Raw genomic sequence first — 24,535 nt, forward strand, 5'->3', positions numbered from 1 at the left:
TTGGCTGTTCTTGGCTTTTATACTCCTGGTTGGCAATAGAAGGAACACCCTCCTTTGTAAAGTCGGTTGGATAGGATCACCTACCTCATAGGGCGGGCACAGCCTCCAGTTTTTTAGAAAAGCAACATACAAGTCTTTCCCCACCAAGTAGAAAGGATTGGATCTAAGTAAACGCTACGTTTGGATGCTCAAGGCCAAAGGGGGAGTTGAGAAGCCGCAGCTCACAGTGGGATTCCTTTCTGGGCCACGTTGGAATTTTAAAAGCCCTTCTAAATAAAGCAGGCAGCTACTTGCACTGTTTCAGGTTTTTCTTTAAATCCTGTAAACTGAGGGTAGCTGATTGGATTTTATTTCAACTTCTCCCCCCACCCTTTCTGTCCTGTCTCTTTGTTTTCCAGTATCTGCCTGTGCCTTAGGATGGAGAGAAGGTTTGAGATGTTCAGGAGGAGGCTCAGGGCTTTTCATAGTGACGTGAGGAATTCAGGAGTTCTCTGGTCCCAGGGTCAGTCCTCCGCCCACTGGGGCCTCAGCGACTTGAAACACTTCAGCCCAGGCAGAGGCCACCAGCAGGCCTTTCCTTATAAGTGCAGCCCCTGGCCCTGGAGGCTGTGGTCTCTTTGGGCTGCGGTGAACCCTCCTGAAAGGCATCCACATTCCTGGCATTCTTTCTGCCTGGCATTGGTCAGAAAGCGGGGGTTTCTAAAATCAAAGGCGAGCACTGCAGCTTGGTTCTTGTCTGTAGATAAACTGGAGAGACACCAGGGGGTTGTGCGGCATGGTTCTCTTTGGGCCCCCACATGGACTGGCCTCGCTGGACTTTGCATTTGGGGCATCGCCAGAGCAGGCCCCATCCTGAGCAAAGCAGGAGGAGGTTAATGGGGGTCCCTCTCGGGCTCCAGCAGTTCCTTGGGCGGCACGCATGTGGTTTGCTTTTTCTGACCCTGTGCCAGAGTTACTGGGGCAGCAAGACATCTGGGAAGAGGAACGGGAGGGTGGGACGGGTGCCGCCATCCCACAGCGGTGCCCGCTTGTCTCCGTGGCGGGCACACAGGCTTCCGGGAGCCCGGTGAGGGAGGTGCACCCAGACTTGCCCTGGATACAGCGGGCAGAGCGTTGCATGTGCCTCTGGGTGGGGTGTAGGGGTGCTTGGGGGCGTGGGTCCCCACAGCAGTTAGAGACCATCCACAGGCCACCACACTTTAAGCTGATTTTCGTTTTGCCTTGTTTTCCCAGAGGCATACATGTAGTGTTTTCTTGGTGCCTCTGAATAGTCACAGTCTGATTTGCCTGGGGGTCAGTGAGAGACACGGCTACCCAGGGTTTCCATTTCCAGGCCCCGAGTTTTGTCCGTGGCAAATTTCGTGATTTGCACATAGTTCCCACCTCATGGGTTCAAGTTGTTAACCTGATCCTGCTCCCACTGTCATCACCATCAGAGGTAGTTTATCCTGGTGCCTGGTGTCCTTCAGGATGAAGGAGGCAGCAGAAATGCTCCCTGACTCAGTTCCTGAGACCAGAATGACTGAGGAAACAGGAGGCCTGCAGCAGAGCACGGCCGATTGCTCCTCCGGGGAGTGTCAGCTAGGGGACGGAGCCGGTGCGGAGATCGAGGCCCCACAAGGCCTGCCCCTGTGGTTGTTCCCACTGTCCCACTGATGGCTGGGAAGGGTGAGCTCCAGCCCCCGGTGGCTTGAACACCCTCTGTAGTTGTGTCTGCTCAAGGCCTGGGAACACCCTGCCTGTTTCACAGATGAGAAACTCATCTCAGAGTACTCAGAAACCCAGAATACTTCATTCAAGTTCAAGTTCAGAGGGTGATTAAGAAGAATCAGAAGACTGGGTGCGGTGGCTCATGCCTGTAATCCCAGCACTTTGGGAGGCCGAGGTGGGCGGATCACGAGATCAGGAGATCAAGACCATCCTGTCTAACACGGTGAAACCCTGTCTCTACTAAAAATACAAAAAAATTAGCCGGGCGTGGTGGTGGGCGCCTATAGTCCCAGCTACTTGGGAGGCTGAGGCAGGAGAATCACCTGAACCCAGGAGGCGGAGATTGCAGTGAGCTGAGATTGCACCACTGCACTCCAGCCTGGGCGACAGAGCGAGACTCCATCTCCAAAAAAAAATAAAAAATAAAAAAGTCTCGGAGCCCAGCCTGCAGACCGGCTGCATTTGTGTGTCCCCTAAACCACTCCTCTGTTCCTTTAGCTTAGCTGGGTGCCTGGGGGGGCACGTGAACCACGTGGGCTGGTACCACACCCCCTCTAGACTGGCCAATGGGAATAAATCATGAGCCACAAACAGGAGACGTAAAAATGAACAGGTAAACATAATTTTTTTTCTTGGGATTGTAAATTCACACGACAGTTGAAGGTGCAGTGAAGAAATGGGTGGTAGCGGAGTCACCCACTCTTCGCAGGGCGACTGGCCACGCAGGCTCTGCCTGCACACCTCCTGCCTGGACCATGTGGAAAGTCTTCAGGGGTCACGTCAGACTGAGGTTCTCCAAAGTTCCTATCCCTTTGTGTGTTTGGTGAGCTTTTTGTTTGTTGGTTTTGGTTTCGAGGTGAAAGTCACATAACCTCCAGCTGACCGCTGCAGTGGGCATTGAGTACATTCTTGGTCCTGTGTCACCACCGCCTCTCTCTCGTTTCAAAACTTCGTCATCACCCTGGAAGAGCACCCTGTACTCACTACATGACCACACCCGTTGCCCCTGCCCCCGCCTCTGGCTACCACTAATTGGTTTACTTTTGAGGTTTGCATTGGGCTATGTCCCCATGGCCTTCGATCTGTGACAGAGATCCTGGCTTTCATACATCCTTGGGACAGAGAAACTAAGGCCAGCGTCCTTAATAGCATGACCAGGTCTGCTTGGACTGTCCTTTGAGGTGTCCTGCAGGCACTGATTCTGCACCTGCCAAGGCCTGACCTCCCCGTAATCAGCAGATAATCCAATAGAGGAGAAGGGCACTTGAGGCCATGCAGCGGCTGAACGGGAAGCTGTGCTCAGCGTCTCTCCAAGCCTCTGCATTCCAGTGACAACGTCCGCAGGGCCTCAGTGAATAAACCGCTGCAAATGCACGTTGGTGAGGCCATCAGCTGCCGAAGGGAAGCTGGGGAATCTGGACGGAGGAGAAAGAAACGTGAGCTGCACTCCCGGCGACACATTGGACTAAGAACGGCGCCTGCCTTCTTGAGAGGCTTGTTTTGTGGTGTCATAACTAGCCTGCCTTACACCTTTCTTAAAGCAAGCATGTTGTGAGTTCACAGGAGGGATTTTTAACATACTTGAGGCTTTGGGGACAAAAGACATCAGTCAAAGAAAGATTCCGCTATTATTTATTTCAAGAGCCTTTGAATCTCTTGCTGAAATCTGCTCCCATTTTGAAGAAGCTTCCCATCAAATCAGAAAAGCCCTGATTTTCCTGTCTCTGTGTTTGGAATTGTCCCCCACCCTGTTGTTAGTTCATTCCTTAAAGTTGTCTGGGCAGACTGCAATTTCGGAAGGGCACCTGGATGCGTTTCATTCTTGGGTCAGAAAAATACCTATGCAAAGAGCTTCTGACCAAGCATAGACAGATTTCAATTATTGGCACAATAGCATGTTACATAAATCAATTTCCTTGGGCCTCAGTTTTCTCCTTGGTAAAGATGGAACCTGGGTCTCTGAAGGTTCTCAAAGACTAAAAAGGAATCTAAGACACCCTCAGACTTGCTCAAGAAGAAAACAGGGCAGGATTATTGGAATGATCCAGAAAGAGAGCACAGTGAATCTTCTCAAACTTTGAGAAATGAATTGGTCATCAAAAATTAGACTTTCCTCTCACCTGTGCAGCTGGCTCTGTCACGCGGCCTCTGCTGCTCACCACCAGCACATACCTGGCCCAGGAGTGGCTGCCAGTCAATGCGCAGCAGCCCTTTGCAGGACCTGCCCTTGGGCTGCTTTTGAGTTTCTGAGCATCCAAGTCTCAGAAGCAGCTGGTTGGGCCAGCTCAAGCTCTGGGTCCGCTGTGGATTGATTCACCTGTACCTGGTCTCCACCACTGATCCATCTGGAGAGGGGTGAGGCCACAGGGGTTTCCAGGCTGGGGGTGTGCCTGGGCCAGGCAGCGACAGCCACTGGGAACCCCAGGCAATAGGGGAAGTGGCACTCACTTATCCTCGGCTGGGCTTCTCTGCAGGCTCCCTCCCTCCTTCCCTTCTTCCTTCCTTTCGGAACTCCCTACAACCCTATCACGTTAAGCAAGTCCTGTAGCCTCTCTGGGCCTCACTTCTCCTACCTGCTTATGGAGGGCCCCCGAGCCTGGGCTGTGTGGCTTCACTGTTAACATGTTATTGATGTGACTGGGGGGTTGCCCCTGTGCCTGACGTTTCATTCATGCCGTTCTCCCATGCAGGTTGCTCTCCTGATCTGGGCCCCGCCCTTTGGTTCCAGGGGATATGAAGGTCAGAGGAGGGATTAGCATGATCCACTGGCCAGAGTCAATAACACGGGGCCCCTCCTTCCAAGAGGGGCTTAGCCAGAAGGGGAAGCCTGGATCTTGGGCTCGGGCTCTGATGCTTTGTCTCTGAGCCGCTGACATGGAGGACGTCAAGCCGCGATGTTCATGTCCCCATTGCGTAGAGGTGGGTCCTGTAGTCCCACATGTGGTGTGCTCTGAATCTCCTTTCCACTCTGTTGGAGGGTCAGAGGGACTTGAAAGATCACAGAGCCCAGCCTCGCATTTGGCAGAAGAGAAAGCAGAGACATAAAGGCCAGGGACTTGTGCCGGGTCCTACCCGCTATCTGGTGCCCCACACACTGGGGCCTGTCCCCACTGCCAGCAGCCTCTGTGTGGGTTCTGCCTTTTTCTGCACTGGTGGTGTCTCCCCATCGCCCCAGCTGCTTGTGGGCAGGCGTCACCTTGTTCTGACCTCTTTCCTTCCCCCAGGCAGCTCTGGACTTTGCTCTCAGTAAACACAACTTGATTCTTTTCCTTCTTACCTTATCATTGCCCATAAATCCCGTTTACACGGTGCCCACTTTTGTGTCTGAGCTGGGACGTACAACCTCGTCTCTGCCTCCAGTTTTTGAGAAATTAATTATAAACAGTGTTGACAGAGGCTCTGGCTTGACTTGGGGCATCTGCTGCTCTTCCCGGCCTTGGTCTTCTGAAGGTAGCTGTTATCAGTAACAGAACAGATGTGTTTATCCTGGGCTCCCGGGCCCTTGGCGTGGCCCTTTGAGGGGGTCTGTGAAACCCCTGAAACTGCATGCTAAACTTTACGGGTGGAGGTAGTTTTCTAAAGAGAGGGTCCAGAGACTTTGTCAGATTCCTTAGAGGATTTGCACCCTCAAAAAACGTTAACAACCTCTGAGCTGGAGGAAGGCCTAAGACAAGCCTATCGCACTTGGAGATAAGATAAGCCGAGGCGGGACCTAATGGGGCCTCAATGTCTTGGCCAGAGTGCACAGCTGAAACGGAGATGACACTTGACAGAAACCAGTGTAAAACTCTCCTTCCCTTTATTTAGCTTTTATTTCTTGTGCTTTTCATTAAGTACAGATACTCTTTGCTTGCTTACAGAACAGGGAAGACCTGGCTTCTGAAAATTATCTTTAGGTTTTTCATTGAATTTGGTCTTATTCTGAACAATGCCTGAACGTCGAAGGTGCTCCCCTAGATAGGTTAATAGAAACCCACAGTCCAGGGCAAGAGGCCGCATCCGGGAAGCCTGTGTACAGGTGACTGGAGAGATGAGTTCTCACGGACCGTTCGGGCAACTTGGTGTTCCGGCCTGGACATTTCAGTGCTGCATTTGAAGAGGAATTATGAATTGGCTCTCAAAGGAGGGTGAGGTGTTTTGTTTTTTGTTTTTTATTTTTTTTGACATGGAGTCTTACTCTGTTGTCCAGGCTGGAGTGCGGTGGCGCAATCTCACCTCACTGCAACCTCCGCCTCCCGGGTTCAAGTGATTCTCCTGCCTCAGACTCCAGAGTAGCTGGGATTACAGGTGTGCGCCACCACACCTGGCTAATTTTTGTATTTTTAGCAGAGACAGCGTTTCACCACGTTGGCCAGGCTGATCTCAAACTCCTGACCTCAGGCGACCCGCCCGCCTCGGCCTCCCCAGAGTGCTGGGATTACAGGTGTGAGCCACCATGCTGGGCTGGAGGGTACATTTTTAAACGATGCAATTCTGGGGCCATCGTCAGATTTGGCGAAGAGGAAGCTGCGGGAGAGAACTGTTACTATACAGGATTTGAAGAACTCTCCTGCAGGCTTATTTTATATTTAAATTGTGCACAGTGGTTTATAGTTTGCCAAGCTGTCTTGGGTTTGTTATGTTGCGTAATCTTCTGAAGGACAGGTGGGTTGAGCCAAATATTCATTAGCAGCCTCGTTTTACAGATGAGGAAACTTGTGCCTCAGAGAAGCTGAAGTCATCAAACCAAGGTCAAGCTGGATGCGGTGGCTCATGACTGTAATCCAAGGGAGGCTGAAGCGGGCGGATCACTTGAGTCCAGGAGTTCAAGTCCAGCCTGGGCAACATAGCAAAACCTGGTCTCTATAAAAAATACAAAAAATTAGCCAGTCGTGCTGGTGACACTTGTATCCCCAACTACTCAGGAGGCTGAGGTGGGAGGATTGATTGAGCCCAGCAGGTCAAGGCTGCAGTGAGCTGTGATCACGCCACTGCACTGCAGCCTGCATGACAGAGCGAGACCCTGTCTCAAAAACAAAACAAGTAAAACAAAAAGGGTCAGGCATTTGGCAGGGATGGACCCCAGTAGAATCTTCTGATCCCAGTGCCGTGACATAGGGTCCCCAGAGCAGATGGGCTGGGTTCAGATAACGGAAGGCCACACAAGATTCTAGAATTGTCAGCAGAGGGAGGAGTTGCCTGACAGCAGCAGATTCCAGGGAGGGCCCGGATGAACCTCCAACAGGAATGCTGATTCCGTTCTGCCTTTGATCTCCTGATTTCAAAAGAACTTGAAGTAACTTGAACCTGGCTGCCATCTGCCCAGGCATAGATGTGTGCCAGGAGGCAGGTCTGCCTCTTAGTTGCTATGAAATAGTTTGCCCAACTTGGATGCTACGTTTCTTTAGAAAATCTTCAAGCTATCACACGTGAATAGGCTTCTGATCGAATAAGCCCAGGGCTTCGGTGGATGGGGCATGGCTGGCAGCAGGGCCAGCGTGGCCCTGTCCTTTTGGTCCTCTGTGGCAGGGACCCAGGAAGCAGTACCCAAGGGCTGGAACCAGCGTGACCGAGGAGAACTCTCCCCTGGCCAGGGCCTAGCTCTCAAACACCAGATTCTGGGGTGGACTTAGATCCTACAAACGCAGGCCACTGAGGCCAGGGTACCAATGTATTCATTTGACAGGAAAAAAGGGGATACTTTGGAGGTGCAGATAATGCATCCTCACTGTACAGGTCGGGGCATGAGAGCAGAATGAGGGTCATTCGAAGGATAGAGTGTCTGTTTACTGTTTTATCTGCTGAGAAGCAGATTCCCATTTTGCCAGCACCTGTGTGTAGCCTGGACTCTGGAACTAAACTCTCTGGTCTGAGGGGTGGAGGGGGTCAAATCTTGGTGAGGAACAGTTGCATGGCTCTGCTCACTGACCTCTGTTGGGCCTTAGTTTGCTCATCTGTAAAACGGGAGTGAGAAGTTGCAGTTATGGGCGTGTGACACCTTCCCAGTCACGCTCCTATGCAGGGAGATGTGGCTCTGGCATACAGAAGCTGAACTCACAGTGATGGTGACAGAGGCTGGAGGCTGGGGGGCTTGCAGTGTCTGTATCCAGTTGGCTCCAGGGATGGCCCCACCCCTGTCCTCACCTCGGTGTGATTTTAGGGGCCACAGTCTGTTCCTGTTTTTTCTTAGCTGGTTTGAGTTGGGTTTTGAGAGTCCTAAAACCCACCCAAGATGGCCCTAGGTACCTGCCCTCTGTGGGGTACATTGCTCCAGTGGGACTGCAGGCTTTGGGGCTCCCCGTTAGCACCCCAACTGCTCCCGGCTCCTGGCTGTCACTCGGTGAAGTTTGCCACGGCTTCCCCTGTTGGTGGCGTTTTTCCTGTGCCTGACTGACTAGGTACCCTCCTAACTCCTAACTAAACATAGGTTTTCTTTTTCTATGCTTTAGTAGTTATTTCTCATAACAAAAATATGCTCTCAGTGTCACAGTTATTTTTAATAAATGTATCTTTCCAGACTGTTCTCTGTGCATGTGCATAATATTTTAGCCTCAGATGGGTTCCTCATGGGCACCTTCTTAAGGTGTCATTGCCTGTAGTCGCCTCGGTGGCACTGGACCTCTTTAGAGTGGCTTTGCTTCTTTACAGGGTTTCATTATTTTTTTTAAAAAGTTTTATTGAAATGAAGTTCACATAACATATAATTTACCATTTTGAAATGTCACAATTCTGTGCTGTATAGAATATTCACAAAGTTGTGCAACCACCACCTCTTATCACATCTCCAGAACATTTTTTCAACCCTAAAGGGCACCCATTAGCAGTCGCTGCCCCTCCTTCCCGCCCCTGACAACCACTGCTCTGCTTTCGGTTTCTATGGATTCCTATGGATTTGTGTATCCTGGACATGACTTATAAATGGAACCATACAATAGGTGGCCTTTGGTGACTGTCTTGTTTTCACTGCAGACTGTTTCCAGGGTTCATCCACGTGGCAGCATGTGTCAAAATCCCATTCCTTTTTATGGCTGCATAATATTCCATTGTATGGCTATGTTACATTTTGTTTACACTTTCATTCGTTGATGGACATTTGGGTCGTTGCCACCTTCTGGCTGTTGTGACTGGTGCTACTAGGATTCATGTATTTGATGGTCTAATTCTGTTCTAAGAGCTGTCTTCTCTCATTTCCAAGTTCTTGGAGAGATCCCTGGCTTTTGATTCCTTCTCCTCCACCCCATGCCTATCCCCAGGATTTTATGAATCTCCCAGGAGGTAGGGCTTGGTATGTTGTTGAACTCACTGTTGGCATGGACCAGCAAGGGTCGCTGTCACATAAAGGCCTGTGTTAGGTGCCATCCGCCTGCAGATCCCCCTGGGTGTTAACACAGGACTGCGAGGAAGCACTGCTTGTGGAGAGCAGGATAGTCAACAACAGACCTAGGCCAGGTGTTTGCCCAGGTGTCACACAGGAGGCTTGCTGTGGAAAGGCAGCTTCCTGGGCATGCCCTGTGCTGGCCATGTCTGTCTGTCTGTCTGTCTGTCCCTCCCAGCCCTGCTGTGCTGTTGGCCCAGGGAGTGGTCTGAATTGGCTGTACCCCAGGGGGCTCCCCTGACTTCTGGCTTGCGGTGGAGAGGGAGGTGTCAGGGGAGCCCCTCGCCTGGGGCTCACTCCGGCTCCCCTGACTGGGGGTCCCTGTCTCCCCCAGGTTCCAGTGGAGGCTTCCCCCTTCCCCACTTCCCTGGCGTCACTTCCCCCAGGGGTCCCTTCACTGTTGTAAATTGTCCCTTTCCTGTTGGGGCCTTGAGTGATGTCTCAGCCCTACTGAGTGAAGATCTCCAAGGCAGGCCCAGAACCTGCATTTTAACAAATCTTCCCCTGACACCTTGAGCCCCTCAGAGCTGCTGAACCCCCGCCTCCGCCACCCTGCTTAGTTGTTGATCTTGGCTTCCTCGTGTCCAGGCTACAGGCTGACCTCTCTTGTGCTTCTGCCTTTCAGAGCTTCAAAGGAAGCACATGTTTGCTGAACCCTCCCAGGGATCCAGGCTTTGCAGGTTTCACACACATCTTACAAAATGCAGTGGGGGCAGAACGAGAGGAGAGCCAGAGCATGCTGGCTTTGGGAGGGGTGGCCCATTGTAAACAAGCCAGCCCTGGCCGTCCCAGGGTCCCAGGCAGGCTGGCTTGGTTGGGTCTACACACAGCCAAGCACTCTTAGCTCCTGCAATTGGAATCCCGCTCTTGCGTGCCCGCCTGTGTTCCTGGCTGTGGGAGGCGCCAGAGGGAGGTTTTGATCCCTGGGGGAGTAGGAAGCCGGCCCAGCCCCTGCAGCTGTCTGGCCCCAGCCACTAATCCTGGGCAGGAGCCGCCTGTCCTGGCATGGTGCTGGGCTGGCTGGAGTGGAGTGACCTGAGAATGGGGCCTGCTTTGTACCCAGAGCACACGCCGGCCACGGCTTTTACGACCTAGCGAGCAGGACGGGAAAAGGCCAGCAGGTGGGAGATGGGAGTCAGCCTTGGTCTCCTTTGTCTTTGCGGGCTTTGTTCCGCGAGGATTTTTTCTTTCCTGCCCTTTTCCTTTGGGCTGAGCGTGAGTGTGTTCAGAAAATCTCAGAGCGGCCACTTGCTGCCCCAGGGGGTATCATACGCATCATGGGTTTGGTCAAGAGTGGATCCATCAAAAATCTGTGGGGTAGCATTTTTTAGGAAACGAAGCATAGTGCCTTTTATTCCTAATGGATTTTTAGCTGTGATATAAAAGCACTCCCGGAAAGAAGCCAGCGGATGAAGGTCCCGATGGTGCTGGGCTGGCTGCAGGCGGGACCACAGGACTCTCAGAAGCAGAGGGCCTGTGCTCCCAAGGGCCTGTGCTCTCAGGGGCCTGTGCTCTCAGGAGTCTGTGGACTCAGGGGCCCCCCTCGCTCTGCTTTGCCAGGGGCCACCCAGCCTAGATTTCTGCTGGGCCAGCACCCCTTGGGCTCTCCGATGAGACTGGCAAGGCCAAGCATGTGAGGCCTGTTCCCAAATGGAAGCGTCCGTCTGTACTACTGCACGGCTGCCAAGACCCTCCAGCTCTGACCCTCCATCTGGGTTTTGCCTGGGGATTCAAAGAGGGGCTGGGTTAGGGGAGATAAAGGGAGGGGGACTAGGGCAGGACCTCCGTGACAGCAGCAACATGGCTGATGCACCTGGTGTTTAGTGAAGAAGATTGGGGGTGCCACGCCGCATCTGTGTGTCCTTAGACAAGTTCATTCCCCAAATCCATTCCATTTCCTCTACTCATCGGATCTGCTTCAGAGACTTAAACGAGCTGACGGAACATTTAGCACAGGGCCTGGCCACGGGTAAAGGATGTCATCTTCCCCCGGTCAGAATGGAAATGAATTCCATTTCCTAGGGTCGGGTGAGCCCACACCTGTGAAATCAAGTAGAGGGGAGGGAGGGGAGGGAGTGGAGGCAGTTGAGTGGGAGAGTCCAGGTGAGACAGGTGAGTCCCTGCAGGAAGGCAGGAGCAGGAGGCACAGAGGGGAGCTGGTCAGAGATGTCAGAGATGGAGAGATGGCAGGTGGGGTCCAGAGCAGCTCCTCCCTGCTTCCTCCAGGTTGCAGTGGAGACCAAATGGCCTGAAAAGCCCCAGATACTGACTCTCTGATCCTTTACCACAGAGCTTCTCACCTGGGGCGACCTTGCCTCTCCCAGCCCCCCAGGGACACTTGGCAATGTCTGGAGATTTGTGATTGTCACCACGCAGGGAGGAGGGAGGAGGTTCCAACCGGCATGGAGTGGGTAGAGCCTGAGGACGCTGCTGCAGATCGTGCAGTGCCCAGGACAGCCCACACAAAGATGGATCCGGCCCCAAATGTCAGCAGTGATAAGGTGGAGAAATGGTTTTCCAGAGAGTTTGCTGTTTCACCTAGAGAATTGATTGACTGGTTTTGGAGGAAGGAGGAATTTAGGATGAGGGATTTCTGGGCGCTGCCAGTTGCTAAGTGGGGAAGAAGAGACCAGGCGTGCAGTGCTTGAGAGGCTGCGGCCATCCTGAGCCCGGGCTGCGGCCATCCTGAGCCCGTGGGGGCAGTTATGGGTAGTGCTGAGGAGGCAGGGTAGAGACACGGTTTGGCCATCAGCAGAGATGCCCCTAGCCATGCCCAGGGTGGACTCAGGCACCCGAGGAGAATGCGCCAGCGAGGAGACCAGCAGAGCAGGGATGGGCACCGGAGAGGTTGGACGTCAAGGGCAGTCAGGGGAGGAGACCCTCTGAAGGAGGCCAAGAAGGACCAGCCGTTGGGGGTGGAGGATGCCGCGTGAGCTGCACCCCTGTGGGAAAGGGAGAGTCGCAGCTGGGTGGCTTGGAGGTTTCAGAGCTGTCAGGAAAGCTGCCCTGGGACTTGGCCCTCTGTGTGGCCTTCCTCTCCAGACTGGGTGGGAACAGTGTCGTGAGCCATTAGGTGGGATCTGGTGCCCGGAGAGGTGTGGCACAGCTTGAGGGGCCACCGCAGGATGTGTATAAGCTGAAAGGAAGGAGGCCTGTTTGCCACCCTGACCTCCCAGCTCAGCCAGCCTGAAGCCCTGGGTTGGGACAGCCCCTTGGTGGGAGGGAGGCCCTTTGATGCAGCTGGGGCTCTGTGGTCGCCTGGCATGAGCTCTGGGCTGCAGCCTCCCTGCAGGGCCCAGGAGGGCCAGAGAGAAAACGCCAGGAAGAACCAGCCGAGGCCTACTCAGGAACCATGGCGAAATAAAGCAGGAGGCGGAGAACGCTTGAGGTGCTACCTCTTGTACCGCTTCTCCTTGTAGGTGGTTATTTTCTCCTCATTCTCTTTTTGGTACCCTTTGTGTAGAATAATGCTCCTTAGGTACTTTCTAGTTGGAGACAAGAAAGAAGCTTCTCCAAGCTCCCCTTGGTTCTGGCAGTGTCCTCTGGCTCTGGATCACTCTTGGTGCCCTTTCCAAGCACCTCTCCCTACTCGCTGTAAAAACTCCAAGGCAAACAAGCTGTGAATTATCAAAAGGCCACCGGCCTCTGGTGAACTCATTCTCCCGCTAGGAAACCTGTTGGGTAGGTTTTGTTCTATTTTATCTCCACCTGGTATGGGCTTGTAGCAGAGGCCCTACTGAAAAACGGGGTGATTCACACACTTTGCTCATTTATGCTTTGCTTTAAAAAAGAAAGCAATGGGAGCAGCTGGCTGCTGCCTGCCTGTTTTTGTCTGACTGTCCTGTAAGCTCTACCACACCAGCACAACACCGGGGTTCCAGCTGGCTTACAGGGGCTGGGCTGACATTTGCCCAAGGGACAGGTGGACGGACAGCTTGTGTTCTCTGGGATTGTCTAGAAATCAGCTGATTTGCATAAGAATGTTTCCCCATAGCTGAGAGCTTAATGTTCATCACTGACCCATTGGTGAGTTTGTTGAAATAGAGATGGTTCCGGGTAGAATATACTTGCCTCCTAGCACCTGAAGGACTATTACTTGGGATAACCAGGCTTCCCAGAGTGCTCTCTGGGCCCTCCTGCTGCCCAGCTCCCCTCTGAGCTCTGCAGGTGCCATCCGGCCTGCAGTGTGTGTCTGTCTGCCGTGGGCCTCCACTCTGCAAAGGCAGTTGTCCCCTCCACTTCCAAGGAACAAAACTCAGAGGCTCGCTCCAGTATGGTGGGATGGTTGAAAGGACCAAAGTGTCACTGAATGAGCCAGAGATAAGAGGATCTTAAAGGAGAGTTTGGGAGAGGGGCCGTGGTGTGGTGTGCCTGGGACCCTGGAGGACGGAGCTCCTAGGTCATTGTGTCTAAGAGTGCTTTGGGGATTCAGCTCCTTCCGTTGGCCTCCATTATTTCTTGGCTTCTCTGTTGTGTCTCTTCTCTCTCTCCTTGGCCTCTTTCTGCATCTGTGTCTGCTCTTTGCTAGCCGGCCTGCCTTTGGTGGTAACTGTTCTCTGGGGTCTTGCCCTTGACTCTTGCCTCCTTCCCATATCCTTGATCTGGATCTCTCTATGGATCTCTCCCCAAATGTCTATTCCAGATCTAATCAAGATTTACCTCTCACTGCCAGAGCCATGTGTTTGCTCCTCACGTGGGTACCCTATGTTGGCATGTCCAGGAGAAAACCCTCTACCTTCCTTTTTCTCCATGCTGCCCACATTCAGCCTATTTTGGAGATCCCAGCTAAGAGCGTCTTTGTGGTTTCCGCTCGCCACCTCCATGTCACCCCCAGGACCTTCCTCTTGCTCCTGGGAAAGTGTGTTAGTCTCTCCTCTCCTCAAACCTTCCCTGCCGTGGTATAGATGCTCAGTCACCTCCTTCTGGTGAGTGCTGGAGCTTCCTGGAGGGTCTTTTTTCAGGGTTACCTCCTGCTTGTCTACCCTTCGTCCCATCCCCGGGATCCCCCAAACTACTGAGGGTGTATCATCCCCTCCTTGGCAGCCTGACTTGCAGATTAGAGACCCCTCCCCATGGTGCACACGGCCCCTATGGCTCCCACCCCAGGTTTTCTCCATAAACCTTGAGCCAGTATACCTTCATGCACCAGAAATGATGGGTGTTTCTGTGAGCCCCCTTTGCTCTGTCCCTGGGCCCACCCCACTTCATCTCCAGTTGCCTGTCTGAGTCCTGTGGCACTGACCTCCCGTGCTGGGCCCAGCCTGCTTCATGGGGAGGCCCGCAGGGCAAGATGCACACAGTAGGCCCCAGAACTACTCGGTCCAGCTGTTTGGTGGCTGGAAAACCTTGGACAAGAGGCTTGGCTTCTCTGCATCTCGGTTTCCTCATTTGTGAAATAGAGGTCATAATCCTTATCTGTCTCATAGGGCACTTGTGATACACAAATGAATTAACACATTGAAAGCTTTTAGAATGGTGCCTGACACACACCCAGCAGCCAATGAATGTTGCAGGGCATACTGGTTCCCTAGGGCTGCTGTAACACAGTGCCAAGGACTGCGTGCCTTAAAGCAGAAACACATTCTCACAGTCTGGAGGCTGGAGCCTGAAAGCAAGATGTTGGCAGTACTGTGTCTCTCCAAAGACTCTAGGAGAACCCTTCCCCGCTCTCCAAGGACAACCCTTCCTCCCTCTCCTAGGAGAACCCTTCCTCCCTCTCCTAGGAGAAACCTTCCTCCCTCTTCTAGAACCCTTCCTCCCTCTCCTAGGAGAACCCTTCCTCCCTCTCCTAGGAGAAACCTTCCTCCCTCTTCTAGAACCCTTCCTCCCTCTCCTAGGAGAGCCCTTCCTCCCTCTTCTAGGAGAACCCTTTCTCTCTCTCCTAGAACCCTTCTTCCCTCTTCTAGGAGAACCCTTCCTGTCTCTCCTAGAACCCTTCCTCCCTCTCCTGAAACCCTTCCTCCCTCTTCTAGGAGAAACCTTCCTCCCTCTCCTAGGAGAACCCTTCCTCCCTCTTCTAGAACCCTTCCTTACTCTCCTAGGAGAACCCTTCCTCCCTCTCCTAGGAGAACCCTTCCTCCCTCTCCTAGGAGAACCCTTCCTCCCTCTCCTAGGAGAACCCTTCCTCCCTCTCCTAGAACCCTTCCTCTCTCTCCTAGGAGAACCCTTCCTCTCTCTCCTAGCTTCTGGTGGTTTTTGGCAGTCTTCGTTAGCTTAAAGCCACGTTCCTTCAAAAAATATCTGCCTTCATTGTTATGTGGCCCTCTTCTGTCTGTGTCTCTGTACTGGATTTAAATTTCCCTCTTATAAGGACACCAGTGATTGGAGTTAGAGCCCATCCTAATTCCGTATGACCTCATCTTAACTTCGTCACATCTGCAAAGACTGTATTTCCAAATATGGTAAAATGTACAGGTACCAGGAGTTAGGACTTGAACACATCTTTTGGGGTGACTCAGTTCCACCCATAACAGTGGCTCTCGCTGTCTTCCCTGGATCGTAGTCTCTATGATAGCTCTCATCTGTGTCTTTGTCATTTCCGTAAACCTGCTGAGAACAGCGACAGTCTTGCTTTTCTTTGTATTCCTGGCAAAGGCTCAGTACCTGTGTATTTAGTGAATGTCCTTCCTCTCGACTTACATTAAGGAAGACTCCAGTTCTGATAACTCTCTGTTTGTCAGAACATATGCCTGTACCAGCTGGAAATGAGAAGGATATGAGCATAAGAAGTCTTGCTTTTGGGAAGCAGCCCCATTCATATACAAGGAGATGGATGGGAGCCACCCTGAAGCCCTCCTTGCAGTTGATTAGTGTCCGTTGAGCGGTTGCTGCTGCATTCCAGGCTCTGGGTGGGGGATGGGATTCTGAGAGACAGGCATAGCCCTTGCTGACCCGGAGCACACAGCTTGGCTGGAGAGACACACAATTCAATAAGCTGTTACAATAAAGTGATTAGGTCCTATTATAGGGAAAGCATGGGGCTGGTGCCCGCACACTCAGTGTGGATGCAGGGAGCAGCTTATTGGTTTAAACACTCTGGCATCTTCCCTCCAGCTGCTCATGAATGTTACGGGGCGCTGACAGTGGCTCAGGGTACTGGCAGGGACAGCCAGCCCAGAGGAGACACAAGAACGGCAACTGGGATGGGAAGCGCCCTGACCTCGGCAGACCATCCCTGGGGTCCCTGCTGCACACAGCACAGTTCAGTGATTGACAGCCACAGCCAGTGACCCAGCGTCTTCACCCCACAGACAGGTCATTGCTGACCAGGCTCCACTTACACAGGTTGAGAAGGGTGGTGGCTACAAATGTGTCCTGTAACGTTCTATAAATGGGAGCCGAGGGGACGCCTGAGTTGTCTGCCAAGTTTTCTTCCTGGTTGTCATGTTTGGATCATTGTACATCCCACCTAAAGAAAGCACACCCTGTGTCTGAGTGGGGACAATAACCAGCCGCACCGCAAGGGAGGGCTCTTCCTTTTACTGCCGGGTGACCTGTGTGCCTGCAGGCCTGGCCTGACCCCAAGCCTCGCTCATAGTTCCCTCCTTTCACCTGCCTGGCCGGCTGGGCTGCAGTGCCTGCAGGGTGCAACAGCTCTTGCTATCACCCACCTTACTCCTCGGAGTGCATTACGCACATCTAACCCTAAAATGCGTTTCCATCTCGGAGTGCATTACGCACTTCTAACCCCAACATGCATTTCCAACTCATGCCGTGCCATTGTCCCAACTTAGTCCCCACTGTGGTCCAAGGAGCAGGAGGAAGGAGACAGGGATGAGTTTTTAATATTTTACCAAGGATCAGGTGAGAAAGCCAAGGACCACACCAGATGAGTGCACAGGCCTCCAGGAGCAGGGCTGGCCTTTCTGCGCCTAGGCTGTGGGGCTGGAGGCCGGACGCCGAATGTGCACGCTCCCTAAATGCAGATGGTGACACAGCTTTTCTCCCAGGCTGTGGAAATTTCAGCCCACTCACAATAAAAAGAAATGTTTCCAAAACAGCCTTTCTGTTCCCTGGTCTTTTCCCAGAATGAATCTTGCATCAGCAGAGGTGAGATTCAGTTGTGAGAGAAGACACATTAAAACCCTAAGTGCTGACTCGCAAGGCACATCTGGCCAGCGTGGGAAGGGAGGAGGTCTTCAGGCCTCCGCTGTCCGAGTGGCTTTCTCCCTGGCCTGTGTGGTTCGCTGCCAGCCCTTCCTCCCTTCTGTGCAGAAGGTCCAGCCCGTGTTCCCCACAATCACGCAGGAACCTTGTGTATGGAGCTGTTCCCCCTTCTCCAGTTGTCTCCGGTGTCTGGGCAGTCCATGTGCTTCCCAGCACTCCTGCAGGCTGGGGTCTCCCGCCCTTGGCTGGTTTTCACTCAGCTCCTACCAGCTGCTGGAAATTTCTCCTTGGAGTTTGATCTTAGAGCTGTGACTAGGGATGGGCACTCATTTGCATTAGTAATTATTTTGTTAGTTGGTGCATATACCGCTGCAGACGAGTTGGGCCCCACCAGGAGGAACTTGATTTTCTGGGGAGATCAACACTGCCTCAAGAGCTCCCAATGTAACTGTTGGACTGAGGGTAAGGGGGTTTTGCCTGCAGTCGCTTCCAGGGTCTCCGTTCTGCTCTGTCCTTTTATTCCCAAGCCTCTCCCCCCATTTTCTAATGGTTTGAGCGCATTCCTAGTTAATTGCAATGTTCAGATAGTTCCAGTATCTTAGTGAAAGTTAGTGTGAAAGCCCCAGTGATTTGGTTGCCATCAAGAAATGCCTTTGCCCAGGGTCACCTGGTGAGTAAGCGGAGTGTGAAGATTAACCTCTTTGTGCCTCAGTTTCCTCAGCTATAAAACAGAATGATAATATTAACCCCCTCCTAGGATTGATTTCAGATGCAAATGATTACTACTATCTACCATATATAAACAATGTACTTATAGAATATATGTGTATTATGTACTATTGTTTTCTATAAAATTGTTATTTACTAAAAGGTTTATCATAATATTATTAGCTATTAAAGTATATGTTAATCAACTTAAAAAAAAAAGAAATGCCTTTGCGTGGCTCTTACGGTGACATAGCAGGATTTTATAAATTGCACGGTGGATATAGAGGTGTAATTACCCGTTGCCTGCCGACATCAGCCTGATCCTTCAGGAATGTTTGGCGAGCAGGATCGGGCGATGCCGGATACTTTGGGCTCTTAGGAAAGTCCACTCAGCGAGCGTGGAGGCTGGCCGAGTTTTGTGGTGGAGGCCTCGTCCCTCTTTTTGGGGAGCTTACCCTCTGTGTGCTCTTGGAGTCTGCATTGTGTTAGATGTTGGAGGCGCTGGGGAAGAAGTGCCCACATGGCATTGGGGGAAATGAGTTCTGAGAATAGGGGTGTGTCCCAGCCTTCTCAGTTTTAGCCTTTAGGGAAATGTTTGTTTCCTGGGGCCACCATAACAAAGCACCACCAGCCAGGTGTCTTCCCCGTGGACATCTATTCTCAGTTCGGGAAGCCTGATGTCCACAATCAAGTGTCAGCAGAGCTGTTCCTCCCGAGGCTGTGAGGGAGAATCTGTCCCATTCTCCGCTCCTGGCTTCCACTCCTTGGCATCCCTTCTTGGCTTGCGGTTGGTCACCTTCTCACCGGGTCTTCACATCACCTTTCCTTGTTTGCATCTCTCTGTGTCCACATTTCCTCTTTGTATAAATGAGGATGCCAGTCCTATTGGATTAGGGCCCCCCAGTCACTTCATCTTAACTTGATCATCTGCAAAGACCTTCTTTCCAAAGACAGTCACATTTACAGCTACTGGGGATGAGGACTTCAGCATCTTTAGAAGGGACAAAGTGTAATAAAACAATGGGAACATAGTGACTTCTCAGTATTATCCTCTCCCTGACCTGGTGGCATTTAGGTTTTAGCCAAAAGGTGCTTGCTCACAAGCATTTCTGTGTTATCCTTTAACCCCTTGTTTGGGCCTTAAATGGCTCAAACAAATGCAAATAAGGTGCAGTGAATATTGCTAAACCTTCACTATGCGCAGCCCATAGTTGCCACAGCTGTCAGTGGAGGTAAAATTTAGTAATTGATCAGTAGTTAATAAAGAAATCATACTACCCAATTTAATGAAGCACCTGTTAACCCAATCTGGTGTAATTCTTTGCATTCCAGACCACAGTGGAACACTTGGGAAGCAGCAAGGCTGAGTAAAAATAAGAGTATGTCAAACAAACTTTCACAGACTTTGAGCTATTATTGAGGAAAAATGTAGGGCCTGGGTGTGAGCTGGGTCACGATGAACCTCTGCAGAAGGCTCAACTTCTAACCTCTGCAGAGCATGCCCCAGGCCTGTGCCACATTATCTCACATGGGAGCCCTCGCTGCTGTTGTCCCTCCCTATGGTCGATGGGGACAGTGAGGCACAGAGGTCAGCGACTTCCCCAGATCATGTGACTGATAACTGCAGTGCTTAGGCATGACTGCAGGGCTCTGTGGGGAATGCAAGGATGGTTTGAGTCCAGTGTTAGCCTGAAGGACCAGCAGTGAGAGGGTTTCAGTGACTGTGATGGGTACAGCTCACTCTGGTGAGCCAGCGTTTCCCAGGCGGGTAGAGGAAGGTTGGGAAGAAAGAGGCTGTGGGCAGGTTCTTGAAGATCTGAGTGGTGGGGTTGGCCAGAGGATGGGGCTGGCTGAGAACAGATAAAGGTGTGAACCATCTGGGAGGCTGGTTATTTAATGTGGTGCCCAGCCTGTCTCAAGAGTAACACGTCATCCAGGGAAGCTCCCTCTCAGGTGTCCTCCTGCATGGTATTGCCAGAAAGAGACCACAGCCATGGGCGCCTTGCTAGTTGATCTTGAGAGTGGCTGAGCTGGGTCAGTATGAGAAAGGTGCAAACGATGGGCCTCGTGGGGTCCCCTGTGCTCATCAGCATCAGTCACATGGGGGTACGTGGCAGAGATTTGGGGGACACACATTTGGCTGGGATTAAGAAGCTCAGATTAAAGCGATAGTTCTGGGAGAGTTGCTTCCCCACCCAGGGATATTAAATAATGTCTGGAGACATCTTTAGATGTCACAGCAAGGGGTGGGGGGTGGGGGGAGGAGAAGTGAGGGGAGAGGGGTAGTTAAGGTGGCCACTGCACTGGGCCCAGGGGAGCTTGCTGTGATGGACGTAACCACATGGACAGAGACCTGGGCCAAAAACACGAGGCACATCTGAGGAATGAAAGTAAGAGGTGCTTTGTTTTCTGCTGCTTCTGTGTAAGAAGGGATTTGGAAGGCCAGGCAATTTTCCTGTAAGTCACCTGAGCATGTGTTGTACTGGGTGTGCTGCGGTGTTGTACTTAGAAAGGGAACACTTTCCTCTGTGACTGGAAGTGTCTGGTGATGCTGAATGCTAAGCTGGGCCTGGGGAGTTGACCGCCCTCAGCACCACCGCCCATTCACTCGTCCTTTCTTTTCTTTTCTTTTTTTTCTTTTTGAGACAGAGTCTCACTCTGTCACCAGGCTGGAGTACAGTGGCGTAATCTCGGCTCACTGCAACCTCTGCCCTCGTGAGTTCAAGCGATTCTCCTGCCTCAGCCTCCCAAGTAGCTGGGACTACAGGCGCACACCACCATGCTCAGCTAATTTTTTTGTATTTTTATTAGAGATGGGGTTTCACCATGTTGGCCAGGATGGTCTCGATCTTCTGACTTCATGATCCACCCACCTCGGCCTCCCGAAGTGCTGGGATAACAGGTGTGAGCCACCTCAACTCATCTTTTCATTCACCCTTCTATCTGTCTGTGCATCCAACCATCCATCCATCCATCCATCCCTTCCGAGCTAATGCAGAGATGCGGGTTTCTGTCTATGGGGGATGGGGATGCCACTTGACACTTCCCTTGAGAGCAAAACACGTTGACTTCAGAAGATACAGGGAACACAGAGAAAATTACAAGCAACAACATAAATCACCCAGATCTCACTTTCGGCAGCGAGTTTCTGTTTGCCTTTCTTTTTTTTTTTTTTTTTTTTTTTTGGTATATAGCCTTCTCATGTACCCAAAGAAAATTGAGACTATGCTATACTATTGTTTGGTAAAATACTTTAAGACTTAATATATTCACATTTCTCGTATTTTAAAATCCTCTCCTGGCTGGGTGAGATCCAGCACTTTAGGAGGCCAAGGTGGGTGGATCACGAGGTCAGGAGTTCAAGACCAGCCTGGCCAAGATGGTGAAACCTGTCTCTACTAAAAATACAAAAATTAGCCAAGTGTGGTGGTGGGCACCTGTAATCCCAGCTACTTGGGAGGCTGAGCCAGAGAATTGCTTGAACCCAAGAGGCAGAGGTTGCAGTGAGCTGAGATCGTGCCACTGCACTCCAACCTGGGCAACAGAGCGAGACTCAGTCTCAAAAAAAAAAAAAAAAAAGAAATCCTTTCCTAAGCCATATTAATGGCTGCTTGGCATTCTGTCATCCATAGATCAGACTTTAATTAATCAGTTTCACCGTCATCTGTGGGGTTATCTTGAGCTTTTGTGTCTGGCTTCCCATCTGTCTTCTCAGGATGAGTGACTGGGCATAAGTTGCTTTATCGACATGAGTGAGCATTGATATTTCTGCACACGTGCTTATCTCTCCTGCCCTCCAGGGGCCCAGTGTCATTCACTGGGTGCCGTGTGTCAGGCCCCCTCCCCTGCTTTTTCATATGGGTGTAGTGTTATCAGCATTAAAATCCCTCTCAGGAAATTAGAGGCAGTGCCACATTAAATCTGTAATGAATTATTTTAGAATGTTGGTTTTAGGTTGAACGACATCAAATGGTTGATATTCAACCAGTTTTTTTGGTTCTTCCTGAAACGCAGCAAGACTCTTGGTGGGTCCACTGGAGCAGAAAGCACTGTAGGTACCTAGTGTCTTGGGTCCTATCAACACCACCTACATAAACATTCTGTACGGAAGTGAGACACAGGCCCTAATTCTGGGGCCCTGGCAGATCTCCATGGCCCAGGGTGAGCGGGGGCAGACGAGAGCTTACAGGGTCTTGGATTACCTGTGTTCAAGGGTCTAAGTGGCTTATGGTGTAGCCAAACCCTTGGTGTGGGGCAGGGAGGTTGCAGGAGGAAGAAAGTTGGATGAGGTGATTGTTTCCATGTAACTTGTATCAGACCATGGCCCTGAGTTCATTCTACAGAGTCTGGGTGCTTGCTGGGAGTGAGGTGCAGTTCCAGAAGCCAGGGGATTGGGCAGGGGGCTTGGTAGAGCAATAAATCAAACAAAACAGCAGTCCCTGTGCCTATTTTAGTCTCGTGGGGTACGGGTACAGGCTGTCCCTCCCAGGCCAGTGTGCAATAGCCAGGTTCAGGCCTCTGGGCAGGTGAATAGGAAAAGCTGCCACTTCCCTCTTAAACACCAATGTTAGTTACCACAGCATCTAGCATGCTTCTGGCATAAGCTTGCCTTCAGGGAGGCTTTATTGAATAGGTAAATCATTCTTCCACCCCTCCATGATCTTTGCAAGCAAACATTCCTGAAAGTTTTGAGCAAAAAAGATAGGTATTATTACGAGTAATTTAGATGACTGTTGTTTCCACAGTGAAGTACTTCTGGGAGAAAGGGAGGCAGGACTGGGGTGCTCTGGGGGTCCCCTTTGGTGTGCAATGCTGCCTTTGGGTTCCAGTTACTTTTTTAAACCCATTTTCCTGAGTGACTGAGTCATACCTGGTGTTGTTCTGGGAATCGGGGCACATCTGGGAACGGAGTTTGTTCACGGAGCTTACCTTCCAGAGGGAGCCAGGAAATAGACAAGACCTAAAGACAAAGCTGATTGAGGTAAGTCATGTGCCCTCAAGAAAACAGCAAAACCCGCTGAGCAGGGCTGCAGTGGCGAGTGGTCAGATAGACCTTTCTGGAGCAGTGACACTGGCCTGAGATCTGGGTGGCAAAAGTTATCAGCCAAGTGACGTTCTGGAGCAGTGCTTGCCTGCCAGAGGGAACAGCTAGTGCAAGGGTCCTGGGGCAGGAACAGTTCCGTTGTGCACCAGGAAGGAGCAAAGTCAGGCAGGGCCTCGGGGCCTAGTCAAGAGGTGAAATTTTGTTCTGAATGCAGCGAGATGCCCTTGGAGAGACTTAATTTGCAGGGTGCCCTAAGGAGAATGGTTTTGTTGGTGGGTGGGTGGAGGGAGTGGAACCAGGGAGCCCAGGAGGGCGCTGCAGGGCACTCAGGTGAGTGATGGTGCACACAGCCGGGAGCAGGTAATAGAGAGAGGAGATCAGACTGGAATACACTGGCGATCACACTGACTGGACACAGTGGGCTGGATTGGGGGCAGAAGAAAGGGAGAGATGCAGGGAAAGCCTCTTGTGTGAGGATGATGGGCTTGACGGTGGGAAGGGCGAATTTTTTTTTTTTTTTTTTTTGAGATGGAGTTTCGATTTTGTTGCCCAGGCTAGAGTGCAATGGCGCGATCTCAGCTCACTGCCACCTCCGCCTCCTATGTTCAAGCGATTCTCCTGCCTCAGCCTCCTGAGTAGCTGGGATTACAGGCATGCACCACCACACCTGGCTAATTTTTTACTTTTAGTGGAGATGGGGTTTCACCATGTTGGTCAGTCTGGTCTCGAACTCCTGACCTCAGGTGATCTGCCCGCCTCAGCCTCTTAAAGTGCTGGCATTACAGGTGTGAGCCACCACGCCTGGCCAGGGAAGGGTGAGTTCTATTGTCACCACTGTTTCTGCTGCTGCTACCTTCTCAATCTAGAAGGTGGTCCATTCCATTCCTCCTTTTCCAGATGAGAGATCTGAGGCCAGAGTTCCCAAACTATACTCTAAAGATTCTTAAAAAAAAAAAAAAAAAAAAAAATCTTTAAAAGAGACAAAAGCAAGTTACATGTTCTATATGGAAATGTTTTTGTAAATGATATTTGAATTGATTATTGATCAGATTATGAGAAAGAAACTCAAGCTGGAGCTTGTGGACCCCCCGAGGGAGAGCCACCGAATCTAGGAAGATTCTTCTTTGCGACATAAGAGAAAGAACGGGAAAGGCAGTGAAACAGACACCACTGAGCTGGGCAGACTCTGGCTTGCCCTGAAGCAGGTTTGTAGGAATGGGTGTCTTTAAAACAAGATTTTAGTTACTGAATTGAAAATGCCTAGATATAGAAATAAGTGACTTCTTGACCAGGTTCAGTAACTCATGCCTATAATCCCAGCACTTTGGGAGGCCAAGGCAGCAGATCACTTGAGGTCAGGAGTTCAGGATCAGCCTGGACAGCATGGTGAAACCCTGTCTCTGCCAAAAAATACAAAAATTAGCCAGGCGTGGTGGCGCGTGCCTGTAATCCCATCTACTCAGGAGACAGGGGCAGGAGAATTGCTTGAACCCAGGAAGCAGAGGTTGCAGTGAGCCGAAATTGTACCACTGCACTCTAGCCTGGGTGACAGAGCAAGACCCTGTCTGGAAAAAAAAGAGCAGAAAAAATAAGTGACTTCTCTTTTGCAGCAA

The 24,535-nt window shown here is 51.4% G+C and overlaps 1 protein-coding gene across 10 annotated transcripts in view, besides 12 other annotated features; it reads left to right on the top strand.

Moving 5' to 3' along the window:
* SH3BP4 (SH3 domain binding protein 4) overlaps positions 1-24,535 on the top strand; it is a 103,698-nt gene that overhangs the window by 43,990 nt on the left and 35,173 nt on the right. The window lies entirely within an intron of this gene.
* Positions 459-753: a silencer, noted in NCBI's record as "tiled region #6611; K562 Repressive non-DNase unmatched - State 22:ReprW". NCBI's record gives its function as "represses a minimal TATA promoter and a strong SV40 promoter by Sharpr-MPRA in K562 cells {active_cell/tissue: K562}" and the evidence as "EXISTENCE:reporter gene assay evidence [ECO:0000049][PMID:27701403]".
* Positions 1,379-1,673: a silencer, noted in NCBI's record as "tiled region #6657; K562 Repressive non-DNase unmatched - State 21:Repr". NCBI's record gives its function as "represses a minimal TATA promoter and a strong SV40 promoter by Sharpr-MPRA in K562 cells {active_cell/tissue: K562}" and the evidence as "EXISTENCE:reporter gene assay evidence [ECO:0000049][PMID:27701403]".
* Positions 2,773-3,402: an enhancer, noted in NCBI's record as "H3K27ac-H3K4me1 hESC enhancer chr2:235907423-235908052 (GRCh37/hg19 assembly coordinates)". NCBI's record gives its function as "activates a minimal SCP1, AML or CMV promoter by ChIP-STARR-seq in naive H9 embryonic stem cells {active_cell/tissue: H9 hESC(naive)}" and the evidence as "EXISTENCE:reporter gene assay evidence [ECO:0000049][PMID:30033119]".
* Positions 3,518-4,194: an enhancer, noted in NCBI's record as "H3K4me1 hESC enhancer chr2:235908168-235908844 (GRCh37/hg19 assembly coordinates)". NCBI's record gives its function as "activates a minimal SCP1, AML or CMV promoter by ChIP-STARR-seq in naive H9 embryonic stem cells {active_cell/tissue: H9 hESC(naive)}" and the evidence as "EXISTENCE:reporter gene assay evidence [ECO:0000049][PMID:30033119]".
* Positions 6,648-7,486: an enhancer, noted in NCBI's record as "H3K27ac-H3K4me1 hESC enhancer chr2:235911298-235912136 (GRCh37/hg19 assembly coordinates)". NCBI's record gives its function as "activates a minimal SCP1, AML or CMV promoter by ChIP-STARR-seq in naive H9 embryonic stem cells {active_cell/tissue: H9 hESC(naive)}" and the evidence as "EXISTENCE:reporter gene assay evidence [ECO:0000049][PMID:30033119]".
* Positions 8,775-9,364: an enhancer, noted in NCBI's record as "H3K27ac-H3K4me1 hESC enhancer chr2:235913425-235914014 (GRCh37/hg19 assembly coordinates)". NCBI's record gives its function as "activates a minimal SCP1, AML or CMV promoter by ChIP-STARR-seq in primed H9 embryonic stem cells {active_cell/tissue: H9 hESC(primed)}" and the evidence as "EXISTENCE:reporter gene assay evidence [ECO:0000049][PMID:30033119]".
* Positions 9,365-9,952: an enhancer, noted in NCBI's record as "H3K27ac-H3K4me1 hESC enhancer chr2:235914015-235914602 (GRCh37/hg19 assembly coordinates)". NCBI's record gives its function as "activates a minimal SCP1, AML or CMV promoter by ChIP-STARR-seq in primed H9 embryonic stem cells {active_cell/tissue: H9 hESC(primed)}" and the evidence as "EXISTENCE:reporter gene assay evidence [ECO:0000049][PMID:30033119]".
* Positions 9,953-10,542: an enhancer, noted in NCBI's record as "H3K27ac-H3K4me1 hESC enhancer chr2:235914603-235915192 (GRCh37/hg19 assembly coordinates)". NCBI's record gives its function as "activates a minimal SCP1, AML or CMV promoter by ChIP-STARR-seq in naive H9 embryonic stem cells {active_cell/tissue: H9 hESC(naive)}" and the evidence as "EXISTENCE:reporter gene assay evidence [ECO:0000049][PMID:30033119]".
* Positions 11,900-12,536: an enhancer, noted in NCBI's record as "H3K4me1 hESC enhancer chr2:235916550-235917186 (GRCh37/hg19 assembly coordinates)". NCBI's record gives its function as "activates a minimal SCP1, AML or CMV promoter by ChIP-STARR-seq in primed H9 embryonic stem cells {active_cell/tissue: H9 hESC(primed)}" and the evidence as "EXISTENCE:reporter gene assay evidence [ECO:0000049][PMID:30033119]".
* Positions 15,496-16,072: an enhancer, noted in NCBI's record as "NANOG-H3K27ac-H3K4me1 hESC enhancer chr2:235920146-235920722 (GRCh37/hg19 assembly coordinates)". NCBI's record gives its function as "activates a minimal SCP1, AML or CMV promoter by ChIP-STARR-seq in primed H9 embryonic stem cells {active_cell/tissue: H9 hESC(primed)}" and the evidence as "EXISTENCE:reporter gene assay evidence [ECO:0000049][PMID:30033119]".
* Positions 16,073-16,648: an enhancer, noted in NCBI's record as "H3K27ac-H3K4me1 hESC enhancer chr2:235920723-235921298 (GRCh37/hg19 assembly coordinates)". NCBI's record gives its function as "activates a minimal SCP1, AML or CMV promoter by ChIP-STARR-seq in naive and primed H9 embryonic stem cells {active_cell/tissue: H9 hESC(naive and primed)}" and the evidence as "EXISTENCE:reporter gene assay evidence [ECO:0000049][PMID:30033119]".
* Positions 16,649-17,225: an enhancer, noted in NCBI's record as "H3K27ac-H3K4me1 hESC enhancer chr2:235921299-235921875 (GRCh37/hg19 assembly coordinates)". NCBI's record gives its function as "activates a minimal SCP1, AML or CMV promoter by ChIP-STARR-seq in naive H9 embryonic stem cells {active_cell/tissue: H9 hESC(naive)}" and the evidence as "EXISTENCE:reporter gene assay evidence [ECO:0000049][PMID:30033119]".

This window comes from Homo sapiens, chromosome 2 (assembly GCF_000001405.40).
Source record: "Homo sapiens chromosome 2, GRCh38.p14 Primary Assembly".
Classification (NCBI taxonomy): Eukaryota; Metazoa; Chordata; class Mammalia; order Primates; family Hominidae; genus Homo; species Homo sapiens.